The following is a 24,390-nucleotide window of genomic DNA, read 5'->3' as shown; positions in this document are numbered from 1 at the left end:
CTTCATATGGATAACATTTTCGTGTAGTAGTGGTTTGGTTTCTGATAAGTAGAACCTATTTTGTAAGTAATATATATCTAAAAGGCACCTTCAGGAAACCAAAATTCATCTACGTATAATATGATGGCCCCTATAATATAAAAATAAAACTACTATATATATATCTGCAAAGTGTATAGCAGCTTCTGGAAAATTAGACTCAAATAATTTGTATCCTGCACTAAATACTCACCCATTCAGTGACTTGTGAGGAAGAAAATGTCATTCACGGACTGTGATTTATTAAACCTATTACATACATTTCAGAAGTATGTGGTCAGCCCATGAGTCAGTTAAGACTTTTAATTCCACTTCAATTCATGAAGTAGAATGCTCTCTGCGTCTCAGTTCTGGGGACTGTTGTATTGATTTAGCTTCTAAACTCAGTTTAAAATGGCTTTCTTCCAAGTAGTTTAAAAAATACATCAAAGCCATTTTCTTAAGAAATGAAACACTCTGGAAAGCAGGATAATGAAATAAGCGTATTTACTGTTGTCCATTGCTTTTGTTATTTGACAAACAAGTTTTATACAAAATTTTTTAGAATTTATTATTACATTTATTTCTGGGTCAGCCATTATTCCCTAGATCCCTCTCTTTTCTCAAGGTGCTTATTGCCCAACATGGACCCTACTTGATATAATGTGTTTGCACACATTTCCATTTGCCAAGTGATGAAACCGGGACCTCTCCCAGATTCCTGGTTAGCAGAGCACCACTCCCTTTCCGCCCATCACACATAAACACTGTTAGGATTAGTGGATACAGGACAGAGAGATAGAGACAAAACAAAACAATCTACTGTTGGTTAAATGTTGAACAGCTGAAGATTCAGCTCCCTCTTAAACATCTGGGCAATGGTTCCTTGGATAGGAAATATCAGACAAGTACATTGTGGGTATTTCATCTAAAGATGAAAACAAATACAGGTTTAATTTAGAGTAGAAGAGTTAGTGAGATTTGTTGCTTTATTCCCTAGAAAGTTGGAATTCAGATCAAAAAAGAAGATCATACTCAAAACATTTCTCTCTAATCTTTTCCCATTCTTTTAGAGGGGTGTGTATTTTTCCTATTTAAAAGGAAACAATTTCTAGAATCCTAGAATTTTTAAGATAGAACTTCTCATTAATCTAGTGCTCTGACTTTATTATTTAAAAAATGTGGGCTTTTTGAATTAAAAATTATCTTATTTACTAAAAATCTTTCAGAGGATTATCTATGTACCTGGAACTATTCTGGATTGTGATAAATCGTTGTATATTAGACAGACCATGCTATCATGAAATTTACCTTCTAGTGGATGAAAAAGATAAATAAGTTAAATATTAATAATTCAATATCAGTGATACTCTAAATAATAATAAAACAGTAAAAAAAAGCAAGTGGTGATGGTAGTGCCAATTTTCATAAGGTGTTCAAAGAATCCCTCTCTGAACAAGTGCCATTTGGAAAGAGAACTAAATAAAGTCAAGAAGTGAACATATGGATATCTGGGAGAGAATTCAAAGAGGAAATACAAAGTGCACAGGTGCTGATATGTGGGTGGATTTAAGTTGTTTGAATAAAGAGGAGTCATCTGTGGTTGATTGGAAGGAATGAAGGGAAGAAAAGATAGCACATGCCATTAGAGCAGGAAGAAGGGGTCAGTCCAGACAGGGCTACATAGGCCATGGTAAGGACAGTGAATTTTATTCTAATTGGATACACAATGTGATGGAGAGTTGAGAGCAGAGCAATGATATGATATTATTTACATTTTCAAAAGACCTAAATTGTAAACCTACTAGAAGAAAACCTAGGAGAAATGCTTCTTGACATTAGTCTGTGCAATGATTTTTCAGATATAACATCAAAAGCAAAGGCAACAAAAGCATAATTAGACAAATGAGATTGTATCAAATGAAAAGGCTTCAGTGCAGAAAAGGAAACAATCAACGGGGTGAAGAGATAACCTATTGATAATGGTTTGGCTGTGTCCCCACTCAAATCTCACTTGAATTGTAGCTCCCATAATTTCCACGTGTCATGGGAGGGACCTGGAGGGAGGTAACTGAATCATGAGGGCAGGTCTTTTCCATACCGTTCTTGTGACAGTGAATAAGTTTCATGAGACCTGATGGTTTTATAAAAGGCAGTTACCTTGCACAAGCTCTCTTGCCTGCCATCATGTAAGACGTGACTTTGCTCCTCATTAGCCTTCAGCCATGATTGTGACGCCTCCCCTGCCATGTGGAATTGTGATTCAAGTAAACCTCTTATTTCATAAATTACCCAGTCTCAGGTATGTCTTTATTACAAGTGTGAGAACAGACTAATACACCTATAAAATGGAAGAAAATATTTGCAAACCATACAAATGTTAAGAGGTTAACATACAAAATATATAAGGAACTCAAACAATGTAATAGCAAAGAAACAAATAACCCAATTTTAAAATGGGCCAAGGACCTGAATGGACATTTCACAAAAAAAGACATACAAATGGCCAACAGACATATGAAAATATTCCCAACATTACTAATCATCAAGGAAATGCAAATTAAAACCACTATGAGTTATCACCTCATACCTGTTAGAATGGCCATTATCAAAAAGATGAGAGATAAAAAGTGCTGTCAAAGATATAGAGAAAAGAGAAATCTTGTATACTGTTGATGGAAATATAAAATAGTGTAGCCATTGTGGAAAACTGTATGGATATTCCCCCAAAATTAAAATTATAGCTATCATATGATCCAGTAATCCCACTTCTGGGTACATATCCAAGGAAATAAAATTAGTGTGTCAAAGGGATATTTAATTCTCATGTTCATCACAGCAATATTCACAATAGACAAGATATGGAATCAACCTAAGTGTCCATTAACAGATGAAGAGGTAAAGAAAATGTGGTATATATACACAATAGTATACTATTTTGCCTGGAAAGAAAAAGGAAAACCTGTCATTTGCGAAAGCGCGGATAAACTTAGAGGTCATTATGCTAACTGAAATACGTCTGGCACAGGAAGACAAATATTGCAAGTTTTCCCTTACATGTGGAATCTAAACATGTTGAACTCATAGAGATAGAGAGTAGAATGGTAGTTACTAGAAGCTGGAGGTGGGGAGTTGGGTAGGGTGGGAATGAGAAGATGTTGGTCAAATTATACAAAATTTCAGTTAGACAGGAGGAATACCTTCTGGAGACCTATTTTACAACCTAGTGTCTATAATTAATAATAATGTATTTTCTACTTGAAAATCACTAAGAGAGTAGATTTTAAATGTTCTGACCACAAAAAAACTAATAAGTATGTGAGATCATATGTTAATCAGCTTGATTTAATCATTCCACAATACATGTATATCTCAAAACATCACATTGTACACCATATGTATATATATATGGTGTACACACACACAAAATATTGTCATATACTGAAAATACTGAAAACAACCTCTCTGTCTCTCTCTCTAGAGATGAGAGAGAGAGAGAGAGAGAGAGAGAGAGAGAGAGAGAGAGAGAGAGAGAGAGAGAGAGAGCATCTGAGGGCAATGGCTCCAGCTAGGAGGAGTTGTCCAACTTAATAAACTAAATAAAAGAAGTCCTACAAATTCATGTAATTCTCAAGAAAGAGAAAGCCAAAGAAGACTTGCCATCCACTGGAAAGTCATTTTAATACTGATTTTTTTTTCATGTGGATTTGCCTGCTTCTCTAACTCAACAGTGAAATCTTTCAGGGCAAAGAACCTCTCTCCATGCTGAACAGAGCCTCTAGCACCCAGGGGAAGGCTAAATGTTTATGAGGTTTTACCATCAAGACAGAACATGATAAAGGAAGTTTCAAACCACAAAAGGTGGAGCCTTCTGAGGAGGCAGAGTTTTTTGTCTAGTACTGAATAAGTTTTGAGGAGTAAGCACCAGCTGCAAAGAAGGGAGGAGTCATTTTGGGAAAAGGAAAACTGTTTGAGTGAAGGTCAATTGAAAAGAAGATAGAGTATGTTTGTTGTTGGAATACAGGCTGTTTTAAGGCCTTTGTTAGTTTTAGGCCTTCTGACTTTAGGTCCCCCTTCTCAAACATTGAATTGCCCCCACATCCTATGTTAACTGAATTTATAGATTATAAGTTATAAAATTATAAAAGTTATAAAAACTTATAAAAATTTATCAAAAGTTATAAAAGTGATACAAGTTGAATATCCCTTATCAAAGTGCTTGGGATCAGAAGTGTTTCAGACCTTAATGGATTTTAAGGTTGTATGCATTTTGTAGACACATTAGGGAATCATTTATCAATTTAGATTTTGCTGATTTTTTTGTATAATGGAGGCAATAATTCTGTGTTTGAGATCTCAAAGATTTCACTAGGCCCTTGGAAATATTTTAGGCCCCAGATACTGTTATCAAAGAGCCTAGCAGTTAAAACAGCCCTAAAAATAAAATAAAATAATGACATAAAATAAACCTCCCAACAAAGAAAAGCTCAGGTCCAGATGGCCTCATTAAAGCATTCCACCAAAAATTAAAGAAGAATTAACACCAATCCTCCTCAAACTCTTATAAAAAAATAAAGAGAAGGAAACACTTTTTTTTTTTTGACAGGGTCTTGCCCTGTTGCCCAGGCTGGAGTGCAGTGGCACAATCTCGGCTCACTGCAAACTCCACCTCCCAGGTCCAAGCAGTTCTCTGCATCAGCCTCCCGAGTAGCTGGGATTACAGGCACCCACTACCATGCCCGGGTAATTTTCGTATTTTTAGTAGAGACGGGATTTCACCATCTTGGCCAGGCTGGTCTTGCACTCCTGATCTCATGATCCACCCACCTGAGCCTCCCAACGTCCTGGGATTACAGGTGTGAGCCACCACACCCAGCCAGGAACACTTTCAAATGCATTCTATGAGACTAAAATTAGGCAGATACCAAAATCATTCACAAAAACTACAAGAAAAGAACACTGCAGACTGATATTCTTAATGAATATTGATGCAAATACGTTCAACAAAATATTAGCAAGCCAAATTCAATAACACATTAAGAGGATTAGACATCTTGTTTCAAGTGGCATTTATTTGTGGAATGCGAGATGGTTCAACATAGGAAAATCAATCAATATAATATACCACATTAACAGAATGAAGGTCAATAGCCACATGATTATCTCAATTGTTGCAGAAAAACATTTGACAAAATTTAACATCTTTTCAGGATAAAAATGCTCAATAAACTATAAATTTTTAAAAATTGCCCCAAATAATAAAGTTCATATATGAAAAGTCCACAAGTAACTTTATAGTCAACAGTACAAAGTTGAAAGCTTTTCCTACAAAGCAAATGATGTCCACTCTCATCACTTCTATTGAATATAATACTGAAAGTTCTATTCAGAGCAATCAGGAAAGAAAAAGAAATTAAAAGCAGTCATATAGAGAAGGAAGTAGTAAAATGATCTCTGTTCTCAGATGACATGATCTTATTAATAGAAACTAATGATCGCACACACACACACACACACACACACAACCAAACTATATGTTGCTTAAAAAAGACATACAACAGTTAAATTTAAAAGAGTGAAAAAGGATATACCCTGAAATAAATACATCTATATCAGAAAAAGTAGAATTTAAGGCAAAAAAAACTAAATCGAAATAAATAGGAACATTTCATAATACTAAAATATTTAATTTTCCAGGAAAATAAAACAAGTTAAAAATTTTACGTTATCATATAGCATGAAAATATATAAAGCAAACATTTAGTGAAAAACACAAATCCACAATTCTCATGAAAATTTTAATATACCTTTCTCATTAGTTGACAAAATATAGGTATTGATGTAGCATAAATCAATATGATTAACAAACAATTTAATGGAAATATGTGGAACACTGCACCTCAACTACAGAAAGTGAACTATCTCAACTACAGAAAGTGAACTATTTTCAGGTAGATAAGAATTCGTTACTATCATAGATCATAGCCTGTGTCATAAAGCAAGTCTCAACAGGTTTTAAATGATTTAAGTGATACAGAGTGTGTCTCTTGATCAAAGAGGAATTAATCTAAACAAAAAAAAAACTAAAAGATAGCTCTATGCTGATACATTTTAAACTACAGTAACTTATGTGTCAAAGAAGTAATCATAATGACAATCAGCAAATAGTTTGAACTGAATGATAGCAAAAATATGCAGTACCAAAACTGGCAATATAATTAAAGCCAATCTTAACGGTAAAATTTATAGCTCTAAAATGCATATATCAGGCAGGAAAAAGAATGGTTCAAACTTAATTACTAGAACAACCATCTCAATAAGGCAGAAAAAATAAATAATAAACCCCCAAAAAGTTGAAGGAAGAAAACAATAAAAATATGAGTAGGAATTAATGAATTGGAAAGCAAATGTACCATAAAGTGGATCAACAAAAACTAATATTTTGGGTTTTTCAACATGAATGCATAACAATAGAAACTAGATAAGTTGGAGAGAAAAAAGACCAGAAAAATAGAATAAAATATCAGTGAGGTGTGGGACACCCCAGGGGCCTAAGATACATACAATTTCAGAAGAAGATGTGAGAAGGATGGACCGAAAACATATTTGAAGAAGGGCCAGGTGTGGTGTCTCCCCAACCCCAAAGTAGTTCCAACACTTGAGAGTCCAAAGTGGGCAAATCGCTTGAGCCCAGGAGTTTGAGACCAGCCTGGACAACGTGGTGAAACCCTGTCTCTACAAAAAATACAAAAATTAGACAGGCATAGTGGCAGGCACCTGTATTCCCAGCTACTTGGGAGGGTGAGGCAGGAGGATTGATTGAGCCAGGGAGATCGAGAATTCAGTGAGCCATGATTATGCCACTGCACTCCAGCCTGGGTGGCAGAGTGAAACTCTGTCTCAAGAAAAAAAACAAAAGAAAAAACGAACAAAAGGGAAGATAATCCAAGTGTATAAAATTATAAACCCATAGATTCAGGTAACTTAAAGAGCCCCAAGTTGAAGAAAACTACACCAAAGCACATCATAATCAAATCATGGAAAACCGGAGATAAAGAGAAAATCTTGAAAGAAGCTATTGAAAAAAATTATACATTAAATAGAGAAGAACAATGATAAAAATTACAGCAGAGACTCATCAGGAACAATGCATGCCAGAAAACAATGAAACAACTTTTTAGTACTGGAAGAAAAAAAAAAAAAAACTTTTCACCCTAGAATTCTGTAAATATTTTTTCAGACATATAAAAGCTGCGAAATTCATATCAGTAAAGACATTCAGGAACAGAAAAATATGGTACCAGATGGAAATTTCAATCTAAATAAAGGCATGAAGAACATTAGAAATGGTAAATATGTGAGCAACTATGAAAGACTTTTATCTCATTTTTAGTCTCTTCAAAAGACAATTTATTGTTTAAAGATAAAATAACAAAAATGTATGGAAGGTTTACGACATATGTAGAAACAAAATGTATAACAATGGCACAAATGCCAAAATGAGAGAAAGGTTATAACTATACTGTTGTAAAATCAATACTGGAGATAAATAAAATCTTAAAAAAAGACTCAATCCAAAAGAAGGCAATAAACAAGAAAAAAAGAAACAGAGAACAGATGGAAAATTTTTACAATCAGATTGTGTACTTAAAATCAATTATAATAATTTATCACATAAAATAAAACGGCTTAAACATTTTATTTATAAAGATAAGATTGTTAAACTGGATAAAAAGCATAACCTCTTCCCAAATATGTGCAGTATTCAGAAAACCTACTTTAAGTATAAATTTATTAAAAACAAAAGACAGGAAAAGGTATACTTTGGTAAAACTAATTAAAAGAAAGTTGAAGGGACTACAATAATATCAGACAGAGAAGGTTTCAAAGGAAGGAGTTTTATCGGGGATAAAGAGAGTTATTTGAACCTTGACTTTCTTAAAGAAAGTACAAGACACCAAATGTTTAATTAGTATTTATAGAAAGATCTATACTTTGACATCATTGGTGACAGTTATCTGGTATTCTCACCCAAAACACATTCCGCAGAAAAAGAAATTGTATGCTTAGCAAAAGAGGATAGTGACTTTTGTGTTTAGATTACTTAGAGTAGAAATCTCACAGTGTCTTGATGATCTATATTAGTTTTATATTCTTGCTAAAAAAATAAGATCACAGGTTCCAGGTCTGCCTATCTTTTGGGAGTAGGGGGTCAGGGAGTCACCATTTAACTCATCACAGACCAGGTCCTTGCATTAGCCCTCACTATACCTAGGTTTCATAATCCATACGTTTATCATTGACTATATGCAGAGCTACGTTGGTTGTCACTGAGGGGTGCTTCAAAAGAAGTGTTAGTTGTCAATAACAAAGGTCCCCCACCCTTCAATAGCTAAACTGTGGAGGGATTGAGTGTAAAACTTCCTTGCAAAACTTCAAATCTTTTTCTCTTCCTGAGCTATTTTTTTTTTTTTTTGCTAATGGCTTGAAAACACGACATACTCATTAACTCTTTTTTATTTTTTTAATTTTTTTATTATTATTATACTTTAAGTTTTAGGGTACATGTGCACAACTTGCAGGTTTCTTACATATCTATACATGTGCCATGCTGGTGTGCTGCACCCATTAACTCGTCATTTAGCATTAGGTATATCTCCCAATGCTATCCCTCTCCCCTCCCCCCACCCCACAACAGTCCCTGGTGTGTGATGTTCCCCTTCCTGTGTCCATGTGTTCTCACTGTTCAATTCCCACCTATGAGTGAGAACACGCGGTGTTTGGTGTTTTTGACCTTGCGATAGTTTGCTGAGAATGATGGTTTCCAGCTTCAACCATGTCCCTACAAAGGACATGAACTCATCATTTTTTATGGCTGCATAGTATTCCATGGTGTATATGTGCCACATTTTCTTAATCCAGTCTATCATTGTTGGACATTTAGGTTGGTTCCAAGTCTTTGCTATTGTGAATAGTGCCACAATAAACATACGTGTGCATGTGTCTTTATAGCAGCATGATTTATAATCCTTTGGGTATATACCCAGTAATGGGATGGCTGGGTCAAATGGTATTTCTAGTTCTAGATCCCTGAGGAATCGCCACACTGACTTCCACAGTGGTTGAACTAGTTTACAGTCCCACCAACAGTGTAAAAGTGTTCCTATTTCTCCACATCCTCTCCAGCACCTGTTGTTTCCTGGCTTTTTAATGGTTGCCATTCTAACAGGTGTGAGATGGTATCTCATTGTGGTTTTCATTTGCATTTCTCTGATGGCCAGTGATGATGAGCAATTTTTCATGTGTCTTTTGGCTGCATAAATGTCTTCTTTTGAGAAGTGTCTGTTCATATCCTTTGCCCACTTTTTGATGGGGTTGTTTGTTTTTTTCTTGTAAATTTGTTTGAGTTCATTGTAGATTCTGGATATTAGCCCTTTGTCAGATGAGTAGGTTGCAAAAATTTTCTCCCATTCTGTAGGTTGCCTGTTCACTCTGATGGTGGTTTCTTTTGCTGTGCAGAAGCTCTTTAGTTTAATTAGATCCCATTTGTCAATTTTGGCTTTTGTTGCCACTGCTTTTGGTGTTTTAGAGAGGAAGTCCTTGCCTAGTCCTGAATGGTATTGCCTAGGTTTTCTTCTAGGGTTTTTATGGTTTTAGGTCTAACATGTAAGTCTTTAACCCATCTTGAATTAATTTCTGTATAAGATGTAAGGAAGGGATCCAGTTTCAGCTTTCTACATATGGCTAGCCAGTTTTCCCAGCACCATTTATTAAATAGGGAATCCTTTCCCTATTGCTTGTTTTTGTCAGGTTTGTCAAAGATCAGATAGTTGTAGATATGAGGCATTATTTCTGAGGGCTCTGTTCTGTTCCATTGGTCTATATCTCTGTTTTGGTACCAGTACCATGCTGTTTTGGTTACTGTAGCCTTGTAGTATAGTTTGAAGTCAGGTAGTGTGATGCTACCTGTGTATCCTCTTGGTTTATGAGGATAGAAGAGAAAGGAAAGAAGAAGAGATGGAGGGAAGAAAACAATACATACGCATTTCTTGCTGGTAACTTAGTCATTCTGGTATCTATAACCAGATTTTAAAGGAGATATCTTGCACACTGTAAAGGATTGGCAGGGAAGGAGGGACTATTGCTCTTTTTCCCTTTACTGAATTGTAACTTGGCTGAGACAAGAATGCAGAATAAGATTATAGATAGATGATAAATTGGGATGTGCGGAACTCCAATATAGAACTCTACTAAAGCAAGTACTTGGATAGGAACACCTTTAAGGGTTTTGCCAAGTGAGAGTTTCTTCTACCACAGTGAATACAATATTAGAGATTTGAAGCCTGAAAAGATAATCTGGCTTTTCTTAATAACATTTATAATCAACCAGTATGCTATTTAGTAGGAATTGATAACATTTATATATAATAAATAAATTATCAAATGTATTTCCTTTTGCATAATTTATCTTAGTTTAATATGGAGTTTATTTTTATACAAAAAGCAAAGATAATTTTATAATAACCAAGTACGCATTTTAGATAAGCTACTAGCTGGACATGAGAGTGACCAACACCCAGGTCTTTTTTCTTCAAGGCATCATACCCTTCATAAAATAAAAATTTGGCACTTCAATCATGCCAAGAGTAAGTTAGCTTATTGGTTATGAATAGTGATTATGATGTCTGATTGCTTACGTTCAAAAAACAGCACAACTAGTTATTTGTGCTGTGTGGTTTTTAATTCACTACTTAACTTCTCAGTGCCTCAGTTTCTTCATCTGTAAAATAATTAAAATAGGATTATACTTTCACAGGATCTTTGTGAAGATTAAGGGAGATAAATCATATAAAGAAATAAACACACACACAAAAACACAATACATGTTAGCTATTTTTTTAGTCATAGTAATTCTCATAAAAGCCAGGCAAAGTAAGTATATATGATACCAATTTCACAAATAAGGAAACAAGTTCAGAAACACTAAATGACTTGGCCAAGATTAAATTTAAAAGATTAAAACCCTGTTTTTCTTGCCTCAAACCCTATACACCTTTCACTATACCACACTTGTTCTCATGAAAACTATTTTACACAAAGTATCTAAATCTAAGGAATTAGAAAACAACTAGCTTCTAATTAGGTGCATCATGCACTTGACAAGTAGGTGTTCAATAAATATATGACAAGATACTGACTGAATGAATAAATTTAAACCTGCAATTCTAACCAGGGTGGTCCTCTTGCCCACTATGCCTGATTTATACTTGAATGTGTATATTTTTCATTTGTCCCATTTGTATATTTTTTATTCCTTCTTTCCTCCTCCTACCTCTAAATGCTGATTCAAATTCTACACATTCATATTCATCAAGGACCTCTACTAGATTTTACCCTGATATTTCCCACAACTTCATGAGTGTTGCTAGAGATGTATATCATCTGTGCTATTATTTTTTTAGTGTTTTTCTTTAAATCGATGCACTTATTTTTAAATTTGTTTGAAAAATAAACTACCATAAATGAAAAACCAGTTTTGCTTGGCATAAATAAACAATAGCTATAAAAATCACTACTATGTAAATAAATAAATAAAATTCTAGCTAGAATTTGTTCTTTGCTAGAGGTTCTGAGCTTGAGACATGCTTGTTCTTTAAAAAAATAAACTAAGATAAGCACATGTTAGATATTAACAATATATGTGCATCCAATGAAAATTTTAGAATTTTCTCATTAAAATAACCAAGTAAACTGCAAGAAAGCTGAAAAGGAAACAATTTTCCCATTAAATGTTTCCATCTTATTTAATGCTGCTTTCCAGTACTACCTTATAGAATCTCTCACACAAGGCTATCCAACACTTTAGAAAACACTAATTTATCTAATTACCCACCCAGCTTCAATATTTATTTTGTGAATTGCACCATTTGTCTATGAAACTTATTTTGAGACTTAGTTATAACATTTCTCATATGCGATTTAATTAATTTATATCATTTCAAGTAGGCAGATACAAGAGTACTCCTCAGGATGATAAAGTCTTAGTCAGACGTCATGGTTTAGCCAGATGAGAAGTATTCTCATGTCTAATGACTCAGTCAATGCCATATGGAGAAAGGATGAAGAGGATTTGAATTGGTCATAATAAATTATTCAACAGCAAATCAGTAGATAATTATATATGGGAATAGATGTATATATTTTTCTCTTGTACCTGTTAATGATATTATCATGTTCTAGGTGTAAGTCTGTTAGTTCAAAATATCCTGCAATATCCTTTGTGAGATAAGAATATTTAGCAAAGTTATTTGTTGTATTGCTGTTCAAGATTTCTGATTTAAAAACTAAATGCTTGAGCAAAGTTTAACGTTGGATTAATGTGATTAGCATTTCAAAATTCATTTACATTTCATAAGACTTCAATTTCATATTCAAAAATTAAACTCAACAAACAGATTGTAAGTTGCCAACCACCTTGACTAAGTTTTGGGTCCTTACTAAACATCTAAGTTTGAGAATGGTTAACTAAGCACACTGCTAATTTGCTATTTGACTTTTCTGAGATTCTTTTAAGATCAAAGCTTGGCCTTTTCCCAAAAACACATGTTTCATGAAAGTCATAAATAATAAACAGGAATAATTGAAAATATCTTCACTCATTAATTCTCAGAACTTTAGCCATATTCCATAGCATTCATCTTTACTAAGCTTTTGTTTCCACAGAACTGAGTCCAAATTTGAAAGTTGTATTTATGTAAAAACACTTTATCATTTTTAAAATATTTTCTTGATTTCAGGGAAAAAAGGAATATATTCTATACTGGATTAAATATTTGAGACTTACAGAATTTTGTCCTCAAAATATCAATGTATTCATTTATATATATAAATGTCCAAACCTCTTACACTGCTCAACAGAAGGGTTTTGAAGTGATGTGTTTTATGAAGACTCAGCTATACCTTAATGTATAGTTATATTTCTTTTATTATGTTCCTCTAGAATTATTACACATTTTTGAAGGCTAAAATAATTCAAAGAAGGGATAATCAGAAGGTTTTGTCTTCTCAGTGAAGTCTACCAAGAAAGGTTATGACCTGATAATAAGAGGAACAAGGATTTTGATTTCCTTGTATTCTAACCCTCTTGCAGCTAATAGATATTTTAATTGTATCTTTCAAATGCAGCATAATGCCATGTTCAAAAGTGTTTTAATTAGTTATCAAAAGTAGGAATTAATTACATAGCTTTCTATTTGGAACAGTTTAGTGGAAGGAAAAGCTGTCCATTTTACTGAAAGAAGATGAAAACTAGAGCTAACAGACCTGGCCTATATACCTGGTTTTTTCCTTAAGAAATTAATTTTACTACTCTCAGCTAATGTTTACAGATCTGCAAAATGGAAATACAATATTTCCCTTATAGGTATCAACTAATAAGATATGAAACTGATCATAAAAGTTGCTTACAAATAGTAACTATAATTATCCAACTAGGAAATTTTAAATAAAGTATTCATTTTTCTTTAAAAGTTGAAATCAGGTAGGTAGAATTAGTTTTTTATATTATTATTTTCTACTGTCATTCATTCTATCCATATGTTTCTACTGGTAAGCACTGGAATCACTTCTCTGAACAAGATAAGAAATCTGCCCCCATGGAGTTATGTTCTGACAGAAAATAATAATTTTTTAAAGACAAAAGTACATACATGGTAGTAATAAAAGTACTGTTGAATGAATGAAGCAATGAGATGGAATGATGTGAAAAGGTCTGTGGAAACAATTTGGTGAAGGTGGTTGGGGAGACTTCTCTGAACAGCGACTTCTGAGCAGAGTCAGAAAGCAAGCAAGCAAGCCAGAAAGCAAGGAAGGGAGGGAGGGAGGGAGGGAGGAAGGAAGGAAGGAAGGAAGGAAGGAAGACTTCAAGGCAGAAAGGGCCTTGTGCCTTCAATCTGCCACAGCAAAGCCACGAGGTGGAGTACAACGAAACAGGGTCTGAATGGTTGGAGATGAGTTGAGGAGCAATAGGGAGCCATTGGAGCAGTGAAGTTTAAATTTAAAAAGATTTTCCTAAGCAGCTATTGCAGGTTCTCAGGGGAGAGATACAGGTGCTGGGTGGACAATAGCAGAAAAGGTGGTGAGACATGTTTGAATTTGGAATACATTTTGAAACTAGAGCTGATAAGGGTGAGAAACATAGGCAACTCAAGACAGGCTACTGACGTTTTGTTTTGTGCAACTGGAAAACAAATGGCACCACGTATTGAACCAAGAAAGCAACGGAAGAGACAGATTTCAGGATAACAGTCAAGAGTTCTGTTTGGGGCATGTTAAATTTAAGATGCTGATGTAGAGAGTCAAGTGAATATACAAAGGAAGCAAGTGGACTTTTAAAAATGTCATTATTGGGCTTCTATTTGTTTCAAGATTATTTTCTGTATTTTTCATGTGCCAAATCTTGAAAATGCTGCATGTACTCAAAGGTGTTGAAGTGATCTTTGATTATAATTCTTCCAAGTGACTTTCCTTGCAGAAAGCTCTCCTGGACTATATCATAAAATAATTTCTTACATTTTAAAAGTATCTGTCTGAACTTTGCTGCTTCTTCCACAGATCATGAGATGCACCAAGTCTTAGTAGGATTACAACACATGGCAGCCACTTTCATTAAGCACTTACTGAAGGATTTTTGTTTTCTATGTTATCTCAGGATATTCAAAGTGTGAGGGTATACCAGATCCTATAAAGCAAGACTCAGCAAACTATGGCCCACGGGCAAAATTGAATACCCTGACTTTTTGAAAATAAAGTTTTATTGGCACACAGTTATTCCCATTCTTTAGATACTGTGTATGGCTGCTTTCTCTGTGTAAGGCAGAGGTGAATAGTTATGACAGAGATTTATGGTCCACAAAACCTAAAAAATTTGGCCCTTAAGGGAAAAATCGGTTGAACCACTTTTTCTTAAAAACCTTCTCTGAAGTTTCTTGTAATCATGAAGAATCATGATTTTATGATTTGAAAATAGTGAATCAGAAATGAGCTAAAATTCATACTCATTTACCACCTGAAACAATTGTGAGAATAGATCTGATATTCAACATTTAATTGTACTGATTTTTTTTCTTTTTTTCCTTCTAAAGCTGAAACTCAGAGTTCAATTAAAACAACAGAAATACCAGGTAAGCTCTTTTTTCTCTGTCTCTCTCTTAGTATTTTCATGGGTAAAATCTCAAGAATAAAACAAATTACACCAATCAGTTTGGGGGCAGGGAGAAATAGCACAAGGGAAAACATTACATCACAAATAAAATGTTTAGAAAAACTTGAGTTTAAAAAAATGCAGACCAGGAGAACATATAAGGACATGTCTAAGTGTTCTGTGACTAAGGTGAGTGGAGCCAGCTCTAGCGAATGTATAAAAGCCTGTGAAATTGCCCTCTGTCCTCTGCCCTGAAACCCACTGTTCTTGATCTGTTTCTGTTGTCAGTGTGACCTCTCCCAGAAGTACAAAATGTCTTCTCTTACTTTCTAACAAAATCTGGTCATAGTATCCAAAAAGATGACCTTAGAAACCACAGTTAACAATTTAAAATGCTATCATTCCAATTAGTGCTCGTATTTGCCACCCTTAGTTTTAGACTGAATGTTTTTTGGATAATGGAGCAATAGGAATTGAAGATCGTTGGGCAGGGGAAGATGGCAATGTTGAGTCTTCCTGTTCAGAAATCATAGTTATCTGAGGGATTTTTATCTTTCTACATCCTACCTGGTACTTATACAAATGACAAATCTCATAAGCTTTCAGTGCTGGTCATCTTTGATATATGTAAACTAAATGAAAACTAAATGAAACAGGAACAGAAAACCAAATTCCGCATGTTCTCACTTACAAGTGGGATCTAGATGATGAGAATTCATGAGCACAAAGAAGGAAACAACAGAAACTGGGGTCTACCTGAGGGTGGAGGGTAGGAGGAGGGAGAGGAGCATTAAGAATAACTATTGGGTACTAGGCTTAATACCTGGGTGATAAAATAATTGGTACAACAACTCCCCATGACACGAGTTTACCTATATAGCAAACCTGCATGTGTATCCCTGAGACTAAAATTAAAGTTTAAAAATGAAAATAAATAAACTAAAAATATGAAATAAACCTATAGGTTCATAAAACTTTTTAAAAATTAGAAAAATAAAAAAATTATGAGTGACACTAAAAATTATGGGTGCTCTATTTTCACAGCAAATATTCTAAGTAATCACCTTAGTCTAACTTCTACCTCTTGTGTTCAAGGAATTTGAATCAAATTATTATGCTTTTAACTTTTAATAATTATCTTCTTCTATATCATATATCTCATTATTAAAGAAGTTATTTTTATATTATTAATTCCCTTTACTCCACTAATCACCATTTTTTTAATTCATTAATCACCATATTTTTTATTATTTCCATCTTCATAGGCTAAAAATTGGCAGGCACTAGAGGAAAAACAGCAAAACAAGACAAAAACAGTGCATCCAGTCAGAGAAGACTGATGCAGTTCTGGGAAGAGATTTTTTTCCCTCTGCTTCACAGATTGACTATCAAGGAGAAGTCAGAGTTGAAGAATTGGGAAGCAGCCAAATTGTCAGTTCTCTTTAAGGAGGGACTGAAGGATCCTTCATTTTGTTTAAATAAATTTTATTTACAAAATGCCAGCTATAAGTTTAATTGATTTTTGTGGAACAAAAGCTCATTTAGGCTATTTTTATTTTTCGAGTTATGTAAACTAATTTTCCTAAGCCAAATAAGTAACAAACAATTTATTTGCGTAGTGGATTAAAAAGAAATGAGACTGGTCCTATAAGCCACTAGAAAATTGAGTCTCATTTTTTTACATTCAAACTTCAAATATGAATTGCAGCTAAAGACTAAATCAGGAAACACCATCCCCCAAAAGATGAATTAACAAATTTATTAACAGGGTATTCTTTATACTTCTGGTTTTTTTCAGATTAAAGACTTCTTTAGTTTTATGTATTTGGCATCAAAGATGTTAAAATACCAAATTTGTGAAATATTCATCCATGCGATTAAAGGCAGGCATATTATTAAAAATAATTCATATTTCTGTTTTAGGTAGAAGTTGACATAAAATTACAGCCCATAGAATTACTAGTCCTGTTTCCTTTCTATAAATATAAGCAAATATGGATTCAGTCTTTGAATATATCACACACAGTTCTCACATTTGATATTTTCTTTAACATTATGCAGCTAGTTTTAATTTCCTTGAAAAGTTACATTTTTGCAACGACTTCAAAAACTATTATTAAGCGTCTAGAAATTGATGATGATTTTATGTAGAACCTTTTTGGGAGATTAAAAATAAGTAAGGATTCTATATAAAATGTAAATTATGACAAATTGTACATAGATATAGTATTTTAACATTATAAAACAAAAATAGATCCATGTTGGTGACATCAGCAAGATGGCCAACTAAAAGCTTCTAGTGCTCTTCCCACTTCCCACAAAAAACTAAAAATAATGAATAAGCAACTACATCTTGATCAAAATAACTAAAGGAAAGCTCTGGAGAACAGCAGCAGAAATCCTGTAGACCACTGAAACACAGGATGGCCACATAGGAAACAGGAGGAAACACCTTGCCTCTGCCATCCCATTTCCCTAGTTGGGATCAACTCAAAACCAGAAGAGACCCCTTTCTGCAGGAAAAAGGTAAGCAAGAGGACCCCAACAACCTCCGTCATCTCCACAGATACATGCAGTCTTTGCACTAGAGACTTCTGCAGTCCTTATAGGGTTTGAGCCCAGCTGAGGGTGCTCCCCAGAGTCTACATACTGAGCTATCCCTAGAGAAGGAGCTGATGCTGTGGCCCTCCCTCCTCTTCTCAGCCCCTACCTCTTGTCTCATGGCTCCTGCTGCTACTGCCCTGTACAATCTTGGGAACAAGTGCATCCTGCTCCAAGCGTGAGTATGCATTGCACCCCTCCATCCCTGATGTTTTGTTACCACTGCAACAAGCCATATAATAGCATACCATCCACCAGCCAAGCTGCTACTACTTCCTACCCTCTAGGGCCAAGTTCCGTGGAGCTACTCCACTCCCCACATTCCAGTTACTGTGCACTCTCCTCTCAGGACTGAACTGAAATGGCGCTCCAACCCTCAGGGACCTCAGGTCTTCTGCACACCAGAGCAGTCATGCCCCTCAATGCCATAGATGAGGCAGCATACCCCACCACCACCATCCAGGATCACAGACTTACACTAGAGCAGTAAACTCCCAGCCCTGGCACCACAGATAAGACAGCATGCTACCCACAGGGGCTCAGAGCCTTTGGCACACAAGAATAATTGCACACTCCAGTGCCATAGCTAATGTAGTACCGTACCCCACAGGCATCCAGAGGCTCCACTGACCCATATGGACATGATTTCTGGGGCCAGACAGATGTGGCACAACACATCCCAAAGAAATAAGGCCTGGCTTGAGCTGTGCCACCCTGCCCTCCAGGCTGAACAGCCACATGCCTGCCCACCCAAAATTGCACTACACCCCTGCAGTCTGACATGCTGCCTCTTGGGGGACTGGTGCTGTGCTGCACCCCTCCCACCAAGGTCCAAGCTACAGCAGTGTCTTGCCATTTCTGCATCATTGCTGCTGCTGTACCTGGCCTCATAGAGCCTGGGGTAGTGATATGTCCCACCATCCCAGGGTCCAGAGTCACCACTACATAGTACCTCATCGCTAAGTGTCTACATTTTTGCTGACCTCTGTTGACTCCTGGTCCCAAATTACAGCTATTCTCTGCTCCCTGGACCCAAGCTTCTAGAGAACTCCTTTTTCTACCAAGCTGTGCCAGTGGTGTCCCATGTCCACCAGGGTCACAACCTCAGCTATATTTCAGCACTCTGGGCCTAAGATGGTGAGGTGCACCTCAGAGGAACAGACCCTGCCTTACTGGGGAAACTGCATTCATTTGTATCTTGGAAAGTGAACCTGTGCCTCAAGTCCAAGGTGCTACAGTAGTCTCACAAGACCCTGAGCCCATGACCTATATCCACAGCTACTCTGATCACCTATGCCCTGGCTCCCAGTGCTGCTATGGTTGCCTGTGGGCCATATCAGACCAAACACAAAAATAGTTTTCTTCAGCTAAGACTCCCCACTGTGGGAAAGACAAGAACAGGAGAATTGTTAAGCCTTTGCCCTAGCAACCTACAAACTAGGCCACTGAGGCACCTACATTCATTGCTGACATTGATCACAACTAAAGAAGCTGCACATTGATTACCCCACTGTGCCTACATGTAACCAGAGGCGCCCTGCCCAACTGGCAGCCTCAGACCCATATGCAACTGAAAGTCTTCCCCTACTAGAGTTTGAAAAAGGAAACTACATCACTAAATGTGCAGACATCAATGCAGGGACACAAGGAACATGAAAGCAAGGAAGCATGGTACCACACGGAAATCATAGTTCTCCAATAACTAGCGACAAAGAAGCAGAAATTACAAACTCTCTGAAAAGTGATTTAAAGTAATGAGCTGGGCTGGGTGTGGTGGCTAATGCCTGTGATCCCAACACTTTGGGAAGCTGAGATGGGCAGATCACTTGAAGTCAGGAGTTCAAAACCAGCCTGGCCAACATGGCAAAACCCTGTCTCTACTAAAAATACAAAAATTAGCCATGTGTGGTGGCACACACCTGTAATGCCAGCTACTTGGGAGGCTGAGGCAGGAGAATCTCTTGAATCTGGGAGGTGGAGATTTCAGTGAGCCAAGATTGCACCACTGCACTCTAGCCTGGGTGACAGAGTGAGACTTTGTCTCAGAAAAATAATAAAAATGAAATAAAATTAAATAATGAACTGAAGGAAACTTGGAGATTCAAGAGAATACAAATAGACAATTTAATAAAATCAGGAAAACAATTCATTATATAATTAGGAAATTCAATGAAAAGACAGATATAAAAAGAACCAAACAGAAATCTTGAAGCTGAAGAATTCAATCAATGAAATAAAAAATTTATTAGAGAACTTCAAGAGCAGACGAGATCAATCAGAAGATAAAATCTGTGAAGTTAAAGATAGGTCTTCTGAAATTACTCCATCAGAGGAAAAAGAATAAAAAATAGTGAAGACAGCCTACAAGACTTATGGAACACCATTAAGCAAGCACATTCTACAAAAGAAAAAGAGACAAAGAAAGAGACAGAAAGCTTATTTAATAAAATAATTGCTGAAAATTTCCCACATCTTAAAAGAGATATAGACATTTGGATTCATAAAGCTCAAAGGCCCTCCAAAATATACAACCCAAAGAGATCCTCTCTAAGGCACATTATAACCAGACTCTTCAAAGTCAAAGACAAAGAGAAATTTAAAAGCAACAAGAGAAAAGCATCAAATCACATGTAAAGGAATTGCCATTAGGTTATCAGTGGATTTCTCAATAGAAACCTTGCAGATCAAGAGAGATTGAATAATATATTTAAAGAGCTGAAAGAACAAAAGCATTGCTAGCCAACTATACTATGTTCAACAAAGCTCTCCTTCAAAATGGGGAAATAAAATTGTTCCCAGACAAGAAAAGCTGAAGGAATTCATCACCACTAGACCTGCCTTACAAGAAATGCTTAAAGGAGTTCTTCAAATGGGAATCTTAAAAAATGACAATTACTATTATAAATACATATGACATATCTATAAAGTATAAACTCACTGAAGAGGTAAATACATAGTAAAATCAGGAACACTCTAATACTGTAATAGTGGTGTGTAAATCATGTGTATCTCTAGCATGACGGTTAAATGTCAAAATGGTCAAAAATAACTAAACGTATAACAAGTTGTTAATAAATATACAATATTAAAAGATGAAAATTGTGACATCAAAAGCAAATTGTGAGGGGAAAGGTAAATGTATAGAGTTTTTGTATGCAACAGAATTTAAGTTATTATCTGCTTAAAATAGTTGATTATAAGGTGTTTTATGGAAGATTCATGGTAACCACAACATAAGAAACTACAGCAGGTATATAAATGATAAAGAGAAAAGAATCAAGGATTAACACTACAGAAAATTACCAAATTACAAAGGTAGACAATGAGAGAGAAAGAAACGAAGCTACCAATAATCAGAAAACAAATAACAAAATGACAGCAATGAGTCCTTACCTATCAATAATGACCTTGGATACAAATAAATTAATTTCTCTAGTTAAAAGACATAGAATGGTTGAATGAATAAAAACAAGATCCAACTATATGCTGCCTACAAGACACCCAGTTAAGCTTTAAGGACACATAGGCTGAAAGTAAAGCAATGGAAGAAGATATTCCATGCAAATAATAAAGAGAGAAGGAGTAGCTATACTTACACCTGATGAAATATAATTCAAGTCAAAAATTGTCACAAGAGACAAAGAATGTCATTATTTAATGATAAAGGGGTCAATGTATCAACAGGACATTACAATTGTAAATATATATACAACCAACATTGGAGCACCTAAATACATAAAGCAAATATTAATGGACATGAAAGGAGAAATAAAGAGCAATATTATAATATTGAAGGACTTTAATACCCCACTTTTTTTTTTTTTGAGACAGAGTCTCACTCTGTTGCCCAGGCTGGAGTGCAGTGGCACAATCGCAGCTCACTGCAAGCTCTGCCTCACAGGTTCACACCATTCTCCTGCCTCAGCTTCCCAAGTAGCTGGGACTACAGGTGCCTGCCACCATGCTCAGCTACTTTTTTTTTGTATTTTTAGTCAAGACGGGGTTTCACCATGTTAGCCAGGATGGTCTCAATCTCCTGACCTCATGATCTGCCTGCCTTGGCCTCCCAAAGTGCTGGTATTACCCCACTTTTAACAACGGATAGATCATCCAGCAATCCCACTGCTAGATGTCAACCCAAAGGAAAAGAAGTCGTCATATTAAAAATACACTTGCGCATGTATGTTTATAGTAACATGATTTACAACTGCAAAAATGTGGAACCAACCTAAGTACCCATTGATTAATGAGTGCATAAATAAAGTGTGATATATATTTATATATATCACATATATATATACACACACACCATAGAATACTTCTCAGCCATTAAAAAGAGTGAAATAATGTCTTTTGCAGATATTTGGATGGAGTTGGAGGCCATTATTTTAAGTGAAGTAACTCAGGAAGAGAAAACCAAACATTGTATATTCTCACTTACAAGTGGGAGCTAAGCTATGAGTATGCAAAGGCATACAGAATGATATAATAAACTTTAGAGGCTCAGAAGGGGGAACGTGGGAGTGAGGCTAGGAATACAAACTGCACATTAGGTACAATATACACTACTCAGGTGACAGATGCACTAAAACCTCAGAATTCACCACTATATAATTCATCCATGTAACAAAAAAACCACTTGTACCCCAAAAGCTATTAAAATAAAAAAGAACACAAAATTAATAAAAAATAATTTAAAAAGAGTAGATAGATCAACCAGACAGAAAATTAAAAAAGAAATACTAGACTTGAATTGCACTTTTCACCCATTAGACCTAACAGACATATACAGAGCTTTACTTTAACAGCAGGATAATATGCCACATTTTTCTTTAGTTCACATGGAACATTCCCTGGGATAGGCCATATGATAAGCCACAAAACAAGACTTACTAAATTTTAAATTGAAATAATATCTAATATCATTTCAGACTATAATGCTATGAAACTAGAAATCAATAATAAGAGGAATCTTGAAAATCCACAATTATATGATAATTAAGTAACGTGCTCCTGAACAACCAATGAGTCAAAGAAGAAATAAAAAGAGAAATTAAAAAATATCTTGAGACAAACAATAATTAAAGCACAACATACCAAAACCTATGAAATGTAGCAAAAGCAGTTCAAAGAGAAAAGTTTATAGCAATACATGCCGACATTAAAAACAAAAAGAATCTCAAATAAGTAATCTAACATTACACTTCAAGGAACTAACAAAAGAAGAATAAATTAAACCCCAAATTAGCAGAAAGAAGAAAATAATAAAAATAAAAACATAAATAGAGAACAGAAAAATCATAGGAAGAATCAATAAAATTAAGAGTTGGTGCTTTCAAAAAATAAAAAAAAATGGATAAACCTTTAGCTGGTCTAAATGAAAAAAAGGGAAGACTAATAAATAAAATCATAAATTAAAGCGAAAAAAATGAAACACCTCAGAAATTAAAAGGATCGTTAAGACTACTACGAAAAAATATATGCCAACGACTGGATAATCTAAACAGATAAATTGCTTAAAAAACAGAATAAAACAAAACAAAACAAAAAAACAAAAACTAAAACCTACCAGGATCAATTCAAGAAGAAATAGAAAGCTTGAACAACAGACCAATAACAAATAAAGAGATCAAAGAAGTAACAAAAAACTTCCCAACAAAGAAAAGCCCAGAAACAGATAGTTTTATAAAAGCTGAATTCTACCAAACCTTCAGAGAATTAATAATGATACTTCTTAAACTCTTTTAAACAAAATAGAGGTAGAATGAATAGTTCCAACCACATTTTATAAGGACCACATCACCTTGATACCTAAGTCAGACAAAGATATTACAAGACAAGAAAAATGCAGACCAATCTGTCTGACGAATGCAGATGCAAAAATCCTTAGTAAAATATTGAGGATTAAACTAAACCCAACAACATAACAAACTAAACCCAACAGCACACCAAAAGAATTATATATTGTGACCAAGTGGGATTTATTTCTGATATGCAAGGCTAGTTTAACATATACAAATCAATCAAAGTAATATATGACATTAACAGAATGAAAGATAAAAACCACACAATGATCTTGACACAGAAAAAGCATTTTTCAAAATCCAACATCAATTCTTGATTAAAAAAAAAACTCTCAACAGTTTAGGCATAAAAGGAATGTTTCTCAATATAATAAAAAACATTTATGAAAAACCCACAGCTACAATTATAATCAATGGGGAAAAGTTAAAGCTTTTCCACTCAGATCCAGTACTAGGTAAGGATGCCCACTCTTGTCACTTCTGTTCAACATAGTACCAGAAGTACTAGCACGAGCAATCATACAAGGAAAAGAAATAAAAGACATCAAAATCAAAAAGAAAAAAAAATCTCCACTTGCAGATGAAATAATCTTATGTGTAATGATTCCACAGAAAAAACTGTTAGAACTAATAAATGAATTCAGTAAAGTCGCAAAAGGAAAAATTAACATGGTACCAGAAGTACTAGCATTTCATACACAAATAACAATCTAACTGAAAAAAACAATTTCATTTATGGTACCATAAAAAATTACTGATGCTTTC

The 24,390-nt window shown here is 35.0% G+C and overlaps 1 protein-coding gene and 1 long non-coding RNA gene across 5 annotated transcripts in view; one reads left to right on the top strand and one right to left on the bottom strand.

Moving 5' to 3' along the window:
* Positions 1-24,390, top strand: part of EMCN (endomucin) — a 122,682-nt gene that overhangs the window by 55,290 nt on the left and 43,002 nt on the right. For 2 of the 4 annotated variants that reach the window (NM_016242.4, XM_011532024.4), the window contains exon 5: positions 15,162-15,200. The exons of 1 other annotated variant lie outside the window; for it this stretch is intronic. In NM_016242.4, the coding sequence (NP_057326.2) occupies positions 15,162-15,200 (39 nt within the window). Of the gene's footprint in view, positions 1-15,161; positions 15,201-16,485; positions 16,723-24,390 lie in introns of those variants that run through there. One more of the 4 variants, XM_017008290.2, reaches the window with a different exon arrangement.
* LOC124900740 (uncharacterized) overlaps positions 1-24,390 on the bottom strand; it is an 89,972-nt gene that overhangs the window by 48,610 nt on the left and 16,972 nt on the right. The window lies entirely within an intron of this gene.

Source organism: Homo sapiens, chromosome 4 (assembly GCF_000001405.40).
Source record: "Homo sapiens chromosome 4, GRCh38.p14 Primary Assembly".
Taxonomy (NCBI): Eukaryota; Metazoa; Chordata; class Mammalia; order Primates; family Hominidae; genus Homo; species Homo sapiens.
The sequence above is the reverse complement of the archived record's forward strand: the minus strand, read 5'-3'. Positions and strand labels throughout refer to the sequence as shown.